The 12,555-nt window shown below is 38.9% G+C and overlaps 1 protein-coding gene across 9 annotated transcripts in view, besides 2 other annotated features; it reads right to left on the bottom strand.

The window, feature by feature from the left end:
• The window catches only part of MEIS2 (Meis homeobox 2), a 212,108-nt gene continuing 200,706 nt past the window's right edge, over positions 1,154–12,555 (bottom strand). For 4 of the 9 annotated variants that reach the window (NR_051953.2, NM_002399.4, NM_170674.5 and 1 more), the window contains 4 exons: positions 8,578–8,636; positions 7,101–7,190; positions 6,667–6,762; positions 1,154–4,409 (listed from right to left, as the gene is read on the bottom strand). Coding sequence is in view for 8 of the 9 variants with exons in the window: in NM_002399.4 (NP_002390.1) it covers positions 6,704–6,762; positions 7,101–7,190; positions 8,578–8,636 (208 nt within the window). In the remaining variant the exon portion in view is untranslated. Of the gene's footprint in view, positions 4,410–6,666; positions 6,763–7,100; positions 7,212–8,577; positions 8,637–12,555 lie in introns of all 9 variants that reach the window. The other 5 variants (NM_170677.5, NM_172315.3, NM_001220482.2 and 2 more) reach the window with 3 other exon arrangements.
• Positions 9,753–10,341: an enhancer, noted in NCBI's record as "NANOG hESC enhancer chr15:37190004-37190592 (GRCh37/hg19 assembly coordinates)". NCBI's record gives its function as "activates a minimal SCP1, AML or CMV promoter by ChIP-STARR-seq in primed H9 embryonic stem cells {active_cell/tissue: H9 hESC(primed)}" and the evidence as "EXISTENCE:reporter gene assay evidence [ECO:0000049][PMID:30033119]".
• Positions 10,342–10,928: an enhancer, noted in NCBI's record as "NANOG hESC enhancer chr15:37190593-37191179 (GRCh37/hg19 assembly coordinates)". NCBI's record gives its function as "activates a minimal SCP1, AML or CMV promoter by ChIP-STARR-seq in primed H9 embryonic stem cells {active_cell/tissue: H9 hESC(primed)}" and the evidence as "EXISTENCE:reporter gene assay evidence [ECO:0000049][PMID:30033119]".

The following is a 12,555-nucleotide window of genomic DNA, read 5'->3' on the forward strand; positions in this document are numbered from 1 at the left end:
CATAATGATCCATAAATCGATGTCGGAAAGCGGGGGGAGAGGGTGGAGGTGTACTAAGAGTATGGGGGGGTGGCGATGCTGTTTATTTCTAAAGCTTCAACTAAAGTAGCTTTGACACTGTTGGGGCTGGGGGGGGAGGAGCTGTTGGGCTCTGCCGGATCATCCATCATTCCTGTCACCCAGAGTCTGCCCGGAGGAGCCGTAGACGCAATCTCCCTTCTGTCTCTACACCGAAACTATTAATATTAAAACCTCCCTTCAAACACTGCCCCGACGGTCTCCATTCTCATCACAATCTGACCGGCCTCCCCCATCAGACCAGCATTTCCCCCGCGCGGCACTTTCTCCCAGCCCCGGCCCCGACGGAGGGGGCCCGCCCCGGCGCGCGACGCCCTGAGTTGATGACTGCAACTGTAACTGGGACGGGCCCCCCGTGCCCCCATAGTTTGCAATACGTTGGTCTAACTCTAACACACGCGCCCAGGGAAGGCCAGGTGAGGGCCAGGGTAGCCCTCTGCACGCCCCTCTGCCGCGGCCCAAGCCTCTGTCCTGCCTCCTCCTAGGCTCCAGGACGCACGTCTGCACCAACCCCGCTGGGTGGGCGGCGGGGGCTGCGGCCGCGAAGCTGGGGTCACTCCGCGCATCCAGACACCCGGACACCGGACTTTCTAACTGAGTGGCAACTTGTAGCGGAGGTCCAGGCTCCTTATCAAATTGCTGGCCTGCTAGCTAATGGAGAACTTGTGGAGGATCCCTGTCCAGTCCCTTTGAAGGAAGGTCCCTCCTTTGACAGCTGCTAGAGATATTAGCCACATTTCCCTTCCCAAATCTGCTCCGGGTTAACAGGCCCGCGGGGGCGGGAGGGGGTGAGGAGGCAGGAGGATCCTGGTGGACTCTAACGAGGGTGAGAGCTGAGGGGCGTGAGGGGTGCTGACCTAGGGGGTGGAAGAGAGGAGGGGTGGACGGAAGACACAGACTTTCCTGGTCTTTTCTCTCTTTTTCGTTTAAAATGTGGCTTCTTGCTCAATTCCCAACCCTTAACAGATGGCGACTGCAGTTCTCTCAGAATTTCTTAAAGAAAGGGAAACCTTTGGAATTTATTTCTGCTTTTGCTTTTTCATATAAATAAAAAAGTGTTTTTATATTACTCTTGTTTTGGAGAACATAAGCAATTTTATTCAGACTACAGTATTTCCTTTAACACTATATGGTTGTCAAAACACCATTCCCAGTTTCTTTGCTTTTGACAGCTGAGTCTTTCTTAAATATACCCAAATCGGAACTCTTTACACTAAATAGTAAACCCGAGATAGGAGCAAGTGCCTTCCGGGGTGGTGTAAAAAAAGCATTATAAAAATTGGACAAATCTATCACTTCTCTGTGTTATCATGGGGTTGGGGGTGGGGGAGAGCAAGGTAATGCAAACAAATATTACAATTATCATTCATCTCCAAATATTTAAGAAGGTTAAAGTTAACATGATAGGACGTGGGTTTGACGAATAAACTAAGCATGAGATGACTTTATTCATTAAAACCAAGAGTTGAGAGCTCTGGTCTCTAAACTTCAATGAGATAACTTGATAATTGCATAAAACACATCCTAAACACGAGCCAATTGCCAAGGAAACCCTTCAGAATTTACTGAGTGGAAAGAAAAAAAGGTTCTTTTTCCCACCTGATGTGAGAGTTGATTTATAATGGGGAATTTTCATAGTTTACATAAAAGTATTTAAAGTAAAAATAGGCAAATATTTAAAATTTACAAAAAGACTTCATGTAAAATAGAATAGCAAAAATGAGAGGGAAGCTATCTCTCTTTCCCAAGTGGCACTGAATTTCTCTATTAAGTTAGTTTGTGTCAGAAGCATTATTTCTATGTTTAAACAGCAACACAACACTTAAACTGAAATGTATTTGTAAAAATTCTACCTGACTAAATATAACACAAAACAATAGAAGTGTATTTCCTCGTTCATTTATATAGAACCTCCATAAATGCTGTCTGAAATGGAAAGATGGAAGAGCCCCAAATAATAACTATGGATTTCTTCCAAGTTTAAGTTTGCAGAGATGATGAATAATTTCCTTAGCCGGTTGACATCACATATCTAGCCAAAGTATATGACATTATTCTTTCTAAACAAAGATTCAAAATTTAAGAGTTAAAAAATTCCAGGATAGTATATTTATTTGAAAATTGAGGGGACATGCCTCACCCTTTTTGCACACTTTAGCAGACATTGTTTGTGCAGTATCAATAAGCTAATGGTATAGATTTCCAGGAATGTTGCATAAAATTTTGAAAATGGCATTATACCGTCCATTTTGTTTTGTTTTGTTTTCAGAAAAAAGTTTAAGTTTAGTTATCAAATCATCACACTAGCATCCCTGCACATGGATGTGTCTGAAATAAAAATATACCACAATATAATTTATAAAATATTAATGATTAAGTAATCTTTTAAAGTCAGAATTTCAAACTCCATAGAAGTTGTTTACTTATCTATGAACACCCATATGTAAATTTTCATTTACATATCCAACAATATTGTAGTAAGACAGGCAGAGGAAAAACACAGGCAGATAAATTACCTTTGAGCACAGACATTATTTCTTATGTTGTAAAATTAACCCTGAAAAGTCCTTTATTCTGGCAGAGGATGCCCATGAAAAGCTTTATCTGAAAGTATATATTTTTTAACGTCATGCATCTAAAAAGGAGGTTGAGCATGTTCAAGGGGATCTTTCAACCTGGCTCATCATGTACACATAGTTTCGTACCTTTAGAAGTTTTCTGCTGGTGGAACTTATAGGTCAAATAGACATTGAAAGGCTATAGATGATTACCTTAAAAATTATTGATGAGTTTAAAATATACTCAACTGCTGGGGGGAAAAACCTACTTTTAACACTGTATAGAGTTGGCATTGTGCAGTCTTGTCCTAAAACCATTAAAAACGCAAAAGCCTAACAAAAAATCAAAAATGAAATATTTATTACCGCTTTTTGTGACTTAACACCTTTTTTTTTTTAACATAACGTCACAGTCCTCATACAAGTATTTTAATGTAAATTTGACAAAGCTTAAAGGTAACAGCATTTTCTTCTAGTGAGGAACACGTGCTGAGAAAAGAAGAATTCATGGACATACAATACCAATTCCACAGCAGATCTGATACTAGCAAAAACATTCTTTTTTTTTTCAATTGAGGTAAACACATAGAATATCTAACATGAAACAATTAATAGACCGAACTCTGTACGAAGTTTGTTACAGTATTCTCTTGCTCCTTTTTATCCCCCAAGCTTTGAGTTTCTGATAAAGTCCTAGTTATGGTTCAATGACCATTAATAACTTTTTTTTGTGTTGAGGAAAGCTGCCCAACTTAAGATTGTTTTGTCCACAACCAAGGCTCAGAACTCCTGGAAGAAGCTCCTGCTCTGTCTTTAAATCTTCATTGGCAAGCTCTTTGAAGAAGAGTCCCCCAAAAATAATAATAAGAATTGGCTTATGAAGCACGAACTATAAAGATCTGTTTGAAACTAAAGGACACATTTATGGAGGAACAAAGGCCGGGCATGAAAACACATTCTTGAAGCTGGAGTTCGAGTGATGAGGTTCAGCCAAAAGTTCATCATGATCTCCAGTGTGGTTCTTTTCTCATTGGCCCAACAGGTTTAAAATATATACCACAGTCTCTCCTGGATGGTGAATTCACTGATGAACCAAAACAGTCATTCTTTTGGGAACAACACACATAGTGTGGAAAACAAGGATATATTTTTTTTTCTCTTCTAAAACTATTTGAGGCAACATAACGGCGTGATCAACAGAAATGTACAAGTTTAACTTAGTTCCTATATTTATACTACAGTAGTTATAACTCTCGGAGTCTTTTTCCAGAGGATCTTTACATGGACAGAATTGTCTCAGTCAGCCCATGATTTCACATTTGTGTTCTTGTTGCATTGGTCCTCTGTTGCTTGATGAAAAATGACAAAAGTAAAAAATAATCACAGCTGTCTGGAATTTCATATTAAGTGTCAACATCTGGTCAAAGTTCAGAAAGTCTTAAAATAGTTTTTGCGTGTGTTTCCTTTTCCCTTGAGTTCCCTTATACTATTGGGCATGAATGTCCATAACCTGTCCGCCAACATTGGGATCTACAGAATTTAACATTGTGGGGCTCTGTGCTGACATAGTCATTCCAGGGTGGGTAGGGGGTCCTCCGTGCATCATCATGGCTGGGTGGTGGGGATGGCTTGGCAAATATGAATGCATTGGGGGTCCATGTCTTAATTGAGTAGGGTGTGGGGTCATCTGGGGAGGAGTGTAACTTGGCTGTGCCATACTCATTCCCATAGGACCACCCTGAGAAACGTAGTCCCCTGGCATGCTCTGCAAACCTGAAAATAGAGAGGGAAAAAGAAAGCGGGTCAAATTCCTAAACATTTTTATACTTTACCCATCAAAGATGAAAAGAAAAAAAAAAAAAAAACAACAGACACTGCAAATCTTATACCTAAATTTAGCTGCAGATTCTTGCCAATGTTTGCAGACATTCAAATTGTAGTTTGCATTTAATTTCATCGCACAGCAGTATAATGCAACACAACAGAACTAAATATTTAATGCAACTAAATGTCATAAAGTGGAACTGTTTTTCAAAATGGTATTCAGTACATTTCTTTGATAAATGCAATAAGAATATAAATTTTGAGTCGAGTTTTATCAGTTAACTGTTGATAGATCATTTATTTTTCTGTGTTGCATTTGTAGACCTGGACAAAAATTGTAGATAGTAGAATAAAATAAAATTGACATCTTATCATATCTATATTTCCTCATGAAAAATTTATTACACAAAACATTACAGCATATTCATTTTGAAGAAATGAGCTTTTACGTGTATTTAAAATGAAGCCCCCTTTTTGAATTAGAGGCATTCCTATAGCAGTACACCCAAGAGATTGTAAAGGTCAAAGGTAAGAAGTCAATGTGAGGTCATATGACATGCCCGGTAGTTTATCTCTGAAAATCCCCCCAAATAATGCCTTGATATTAGGAATAAAATGTAATAAATGTAGAAATTCTCAATTGAGATATGCAACATTCAAAGTTATGAGTTAAATGGTGGGAAGTCAGCAATTGTAAGGATTCTGATTTCTCTTACAAGTTACCTGTTTATTGAATTAAGGTTATATTTACTGTTGCACATCCCCGGATCTAAAAGGACAGCTTTATTCACCTCTATTTAACCTCCAGTGCATACAGTTGAAAAGCTGAACAGATGTTTTTGACACTGTAAGCTGGTAATCTAAAGGCTTATATGCTGCAGTCATTTTGTTAAGTAGATCCGCAGTCCATTATTAACAGAAGTGGCAAAACCATCTAAAGACAATAACACAGCCTGCATAGTCCCAGCTCTCTGTTTATTCTACCACAGCAGCCTGCTCAATGGATGATGATAATTAAGTACCAAATATACCATATTGTGTGGCTGCATAATCAAATCAAGAGAGGATAATATTCTTCTGTATTAAGCTATTAATGTAATTGGTCATGAAGCATAAAATATGTTATGTAATTAAATAGGCTAGAAATTATATGGCCTATATTAAGAACTATCCAAGCTGAGCAAATGTTTTCTCTATAGCTGTTTTAGGGAACATTGCTTTCTACATTTTTTGACTGCATTAGTAAAGGAAGGAAGGAAGGAAATTGGCTTCATCAATGGTGTGCCGTGGTGACCCCCTGAGCTCCCCTATAAAATGTTGGCCTCTATTTACATATAGAGAATGATTTAATCAAGGTACGTGTTGTTATATTCAGCCTCATTAAACAAGGAAGTTTCAATGTTATATGAATTTTTTTATGCTCTGGTGTCTTCAGCAAAGGATATATCTTGTTGGCAGACTCTGAATTTTTTTCAGATGTCAAAAACACTTGAAGCTTTAAAGTCTAATGGGTTTCTTAATCCAACTGCAGCCATTCAGCCTCAGTGAAAAATCCATTCCTTCATATTCAGTTGCTCCTAAATGTCTTTCCCTTTAAATTTATTGACTGACTTTCCTGTCTTTCTGTCTCATGTCGGAAGTCAGTAGGCACATGTAAAAAATAATCAAAACACACCGACTCCCTAGTGAAGAATCAATGGTGTCACTGCTGTCATATATCTAGACTAGGCATAATGAACTGCAGCATTTCATCTTTGCATATAAGATAATTTGGGCATCAATCGTATTCTGACAGATTTATGTCACTCAAAGGACAGTTCTACTTTTCCTTTTTTTTTTTATCGCTTCATTGAAGCCTGCTTAATTTCTCTCAGTCAACTGGTGCCCCCAAGACATTATTTTTATTCTTAAATGTCCAATATCTGCCTGATGTCTGTGTTTGTGCACATTGGGGCCACAGTAAATAGGCTAAAAGGCAGTCCCACCTGCTTAAAACACACGCAGGCTTGTCAGTTGGCCTTTTCAAAAGTGCACATCAGTGTCATCTGTGACTTCAGAGATGGGTGATATATATTTAAAAACAGGTCCTTAGTTTGGAAAGGCATGCAGTTATGGGCAAGGAAAAATAAAATGGGGGCAAATTATAAAAAATAAAATAAAGTCTCTGAAGTGATAGTGAAGACAGATCGCACCCGACTGTACTTACTTCCCCCTTGCTTTGCGATTGCTTTACATGATGAAGGTTACATGTAGTGCCATTGCCCATCCATGCCCATATTCATGCCCATTCCACTCATAGGTCCTAGAAAGGAGATAAAATCCAAGAAGAGGCCGGAAAATCAGCAATAATTGATGGTGAAAAAATAGAAGGAAACTCAGATTCCTTTTCACTTATTGCCTTGGTTTAAAAAGAAAAAAGAAAAAGGATGTGTATGGGGCAGAGTATAATGGTACTGTGGTAAAATCTTTACTTTTTCAAAGAGGAATTTTTTCCCCCACCCAATGTAAAGAAAGCAGGCAGAGCAGGCAGCAGGCAAATGTTAAACCCACCATGACAGTGGGATAGTAGAGTGGATGGAGAGGCTGGTGGAGCAGGTGGCACTTCCCAGGGAAGCCCAGAGGCGGGATGAGCCAACCTACCTGCAGGCCGGATCCCCATGTGTTGCTGACCATCCAACACAAAGCTCCCCATGGGCTGACCCTCTGGACTATATGCTGCTCCTTGGCTCACTGAAGGATCAAGAAGAAAACCTGATTGTGGTCATTCGAGGACACAGAGGAGAAAGAAGAAAAGATATACCAAACAATCAGCAATTGTTCCCGCTGCAGCACTGAAACGTTATAGCAACAATGTGGTTGGCACTCTACAAATGGGGGTGTGGTTTGTCTGAGTGTCTTGATGACTGAGTGAAGGTGTGTGAGTAGCTTTAAAAATGTTCTGGAAGAAAGACTTCACTGGCCAGTTTCCCAGGGGGTTCGTCCTCTGCAGCCCTTGCTTTTTTACTTATCTCTTGATTAGGGGGACGAAGGCTGGAGAAGTTAGGGGTACCCCATATACAAATATTGCAATGTACCATTTGGTTGGGATTCTCTGAGGCTGCCATCTCTGGTGGCTTAATACAAAATGTTCATATTTTACACAAACATTTTAAACCTGAATACAATTTCACAAGGTTAAATAGACTCAATTAAAAGCTTGCCTTTTTATTCACACCAAGGAAATATAAACTTAGTAAATATAATATTTCCATTGTTTTATGTTCTTCTCCCTAGCCTCCAATAGTGGGAACATATTTTGGCGTTATTGGGGAAATTTTGCCAAAGGATGACTAATTTTCACAAATCCTTTAAAGCGAGGCCACAGGTAAAATCTCCATCAAGTTTAACACCGTTGTTAGTGGCAGCAGTCATCACCCCAAGGAAAACTGTTTTTCCCTATAAGCCTTATTGCAGGAGACCACAAACCCTCAGTAAACTGAGGAAATGTCTGTTTCAAAATAAAACGACTTGGAGTATACCAGGAGGGTTCTGATAGTACCATACAAAAACTGTTTTAGAGAAATTGAGAGAATTCTGAGAAAAGCTCACATGTATTTTAGCAGCATGGATGTGAAGCATTTTATACAAAGGTAATATTCTTTAATAAAAAATAATGGTGGCAATGCAGCAAGTCAGGCTTTAATAGGATATTATGAATAGCCAAAGCAAATGAATGGATACAATAAGTTTAACAGCAGATGCTACAGAAAGGAAAGCCTAGCATACACCAAGGAGCTGTGGGTAACAGAAAAATGAGAGTGTGCTAATGATTGGATGCAGACAAGCAAGGGGTAATGCCAGAGCTCACAAACACGCTGCTTGTGGCATTAATACCTGTGCCCAATTACCAATTCAGAAAGAAAATAAAAAGCAGTGTCAGTAGAGTCAGGGTGGGAAATCTCCAATTAGCACCACTTACTGAAGTTGCTTCCTTGAGTGGGATTCTGGGGACATTAAAAAAAAAAATCCAGAATGCCTGGTGGAAGCACTTATTTATCAGATGAGGAAACTACTGGAGTATAACTTGATGAGGATTTGTGCCTGTGGGACATAAATATAGATACTACTTGGAACTTGCCTGCTCGATTTGACTGGTCAATCATGGGCTGTACTATTCTTCTTCTGGCATTAATAAACCTGAAAGAGAACAGAGAAGTCCAGTCATCATACTCCGTTTCTGTACTCTGCGAACACCTTTGCATGAATGCTGAGGAGCACAAAATACAGTCAAATCTCTTCTGAAAATTATCTTTTCAATTTAAAGGTGATTTTCCCTTTCAGCGTTCAAAAATAGTTGACTGGGTAATCTCCGTCGTCACTGCGTAGTCAACTCCAAAACAACTTGCTAGAAGAGCTCAGGGACGGAATAAAGTTCTCCATGAGAAAGCTTCTATTAACTTCAAATTGTGCTTCTGCTTCTTGCACAAGTAGGAATCTGGTTAAAGTTCACAGGCTGGAAGACTTTCCCCCTTTCCCTAGACTCCCCGTGATAGGGAGACCCAGCTTCCCCTTGCAGCTGGTCATAAATGGAGACCAGGCTCTAGCACTCGGCTTTCACAAGGTATTGTTAGGTCAGCAAAGCCATCAATTAGGCTGTCTGAAGTTTTATCACCAACACAGCAGTAATAAGTGCTGGCCAGAAAGACTTCTGCTCTTCGGCAACTCCTGCAGTTTAAGCCTGTAAAGTTAGGGGTCATTCAGAGGTCAGTGCCAGCTGGGGGCAGCCTTTCCAGCCTAAGCTGGGACACCCAGGGCAGAGGATAAGGTAACTGCCAACCATAAACCCAGCCACCTTTCAACCCACTAGAAAGACAGAGCCTCAGGTACACATGTTTGATATTAGAGCTCAAGAAACGTTTGCAAATCAGGTGGTGGCTGAATCGCAGGAATGCAAAGGAGAAGCAGTTATTTCATCTAAGAAGCCTGGATCTAATTTTGTTGGAAATCCAAAAATAAGTGCCTACTTCATGTTACTTTAATGTTTAATAATGCCCATCAAATATTCATGTACAAACAGAGTAAGATGATAAGAAATCTCCTTTATTTCTCCAAATTTAATAAAAACAAAACAATTTTCTACCATTTGTGAGTTACCCTTGTCCCTGTGCACTTAACGACGTGTATTCCCCACACATTTGAGCTCATGCACACGATTCACTGACCACGCATTTCGGAGGAGCAGGGAGCATCCAGCTAGCTTCTCCCTAAAAATATACCCATTGATAACATCTGTCAATATTTCCAGTTTCAGATCTTAAGCACAGGGGGACTTCATGATTAATGAGTCCACCTGGGGCCACAGGCAGGAACTGAAAACTCACTCTTTGAAATTAGCCAGAAAAATTCAGTGTGTGCTGGCAGCTCTGTGTTCCGAGGAAGCTGAAGTCCCTTTGGAGGAGGACAGTCAGGCCCCACTCGGTCGGGCCTCCTGTGAGCACTCTGGTGGGAATACAATTAAGCTGAGGAATAATAGCTGGGAGAAAACCAAAGGAGTCTTTTGCATATGGTGTTTGTTTGCAAAACAATGGACTTCTTTATTACTTAAGAAAGTGTAGCTCAGTTGTCAAAAAAGAAAGTGATCAGCTATGTAGAGGTGAAAACAAAAGGAGAGTTGAAACTGCATCTTTCTTCCCACCTGTCACCTGAAATGTTGCTGAGGAATGAATATCTGACTAGATCACAAAGACTTCCAGAAGCATCCCTCCTCCAATCAGAAAAAGAACTTAATTATCTACTCTTTCCCCACCACTTTTACAGCAACCAAGGAGGACTGACCTGATATTTCCACCCCAGGAACCGTTTTTATCAGCTCACCTTGAAACCAGCAGAGATGCTCAGGAGGGTCAGAGAAGGCTCTTCTCCTTGAAGTTTCTAATAGAGGACAACACTCGGCAGGGGTTTTACCCCCTTTTATGTGCTACTAATCCTGGTTTTTGTGTTTTGCGTTTTTTATTTTTATTTTTTTTTCGGTATAGGCTAACTCTTCGGGTAAAACGAATTGCTATTTTTTTCCCTTTTTAATTTCACTCTTTTATTCTTTACATCTGGAGGTTGTTCCCTTATTTATGTCTTTCTCTCCAGTTCCCCCAAACACTCCCTTACTCACAGAGCTGCAAGGCATCATGGTTCTTAGTTCTCAGCAGGAGAACTCCACACTGTCTTCAAACAAATACTTACGGGGAAGGTTAGAGGTTCACTCAAAGGTCATTTCTTTGGATACTAGTCAGAATGTTTACATTAGTAAAAACGAGGTCCGCTCAAAAGGTTGTTCAATGGGGGACACACAACAATGCAGAACATTAAAAAAGCATTCTGTGAGCTAGCAGGTCTTTATAGAAGCACTGAACTTGGAAATGCCACTCCAGTATAACATTTTCAACTAGTTACCATGGCATGGACTGGATGTTCACTAGCAGTTATGGCAATGGCCTTTCTTTACCCACTTCTCCTAAGCAAATATGAATAGAAGCCTCTGAAGGTTTTCACTAGGTCCTTTTAAAAAGGGTCACAGAGATTTTGCTTTTTTCACTTGGGCACCATTTAGCCTCTCTGGATTTTTGTTCTCAAACAATGTTTTTGATCCATAGTGCTATTTCTTGACAGATTCATAATTCTACCACATTCTTTCAAATCACACAGAATTTTAAAAACATATGGGCCCCAAATTTTCAGAAATCTCTTAACATGCAACTCCTGCCAATTGTCAATTCCCCTGATCTTGGGATATTTTATTGACATCATAGATATTACTATGAAAATTAACAATTAATGAGCTGACTGTAAGAAAACCCTGACATTAAAAAATGAAATTACCGCCTCCTACCAGTACTGATGACTCAGAGGCCACTCTTAGAAAATACACTGACATACATAACATGGAGCCATTTAAATTATAGACTAAAACAAATCAAACTAGAAATAATTTTTATTTATTTAATATTTGTAAGATGAAATTTCCATATATGGTCTTTTCTCAAAATTACATGAAATAAATTTTTTTCCACATCTTCTAATCTATATTTTTTAGAATGACCTTTTTCAATGCTCAAGTAGTAAATAGAATATCAAGCTTTGATTTTACGTAAAATTTGAAGAAGCTAAGTTGAAAATCAACTCATCTTCAGTCTTTCAAGGTTCAGGCTCCATTCATATGGAAAAATGTAACTTGCTGGTTCAAAGACAAAAGACTTGTCTTAAAAAGACTCAAAAGGTTCCATGGATATTAAATGGGCCTTATAAAATAACATTTTGATGAGTTAAGTGTAAATGAATCAGACACATATGGATTAAGTTATCCTTGAATTTCACACGGGTTTAAAAAATAAGGGGAAAAGAGGGTCTTGGCAAAAAACATTTTGGACTTTGCCAAACCCAAAACATTTGAAAAATTGCTGAAGACATCCAACTAACCAAAATGCAGCAAGCTGCACCCAACTTTAATGAAAACCCCCACAAGTTATTTCCAATCCAAAGACTGTTAGATTTTTCATCTGTATCTGATATTAAAAAATTCTCTAAGTTTTAATGTCATACCAGAATGATTTCGAAGTTGCAGGCATATAATCTACTTTTCTATCGGTTTAAACAATTTAAGTTACAAAGTCTTCTTCAATATTAAACAGTTCTTAAAAAACATTCTGAGTTTTTTTACAACTTGTCCATAAAATGTACCAGTAAGCTTAGTGTCTAGCTCTATCTAGATTTCACTTAGAAAAAAAATTTTCATTAGCCTCATTGTGACTTTTTTTAAAGGGCTACACATAATTTCATTAGTGAGTCCTTAGGGAATGAATACCCTAAAGAGCCCTAGTTCCATTGATTTGTATTGAACACAAAGTTAGTATCCAGGCCCATACAAAAGCTTGGGAGAGTATCTACTAAGACTATCTACTTTTTCTCTAAATTTTACTTAAGTAGAAAATGCATGAGTATGTGTGATCCTTAAAAATTATATACTAAGACTGTTAGTTTAAAAATAACTTAATTATAGAAATAAATTCAATGATGTTCCAAGAATCACGAGGCCTTTCTGACTCAACTCAGAGATGAAAAAATA

This window comes from Homo sapiens, chromosome 15, assembly GCF_000001405.40.
Source record: "Homo sapiens chromosome 15, GRCh38.p14 Primary Assembly".
Classification (NCBI taxonomy): Eukaryota; Metazoa; Chordata; class Mammalia; order Primates; family Hominidae; genus Homo; species Homo sapiens.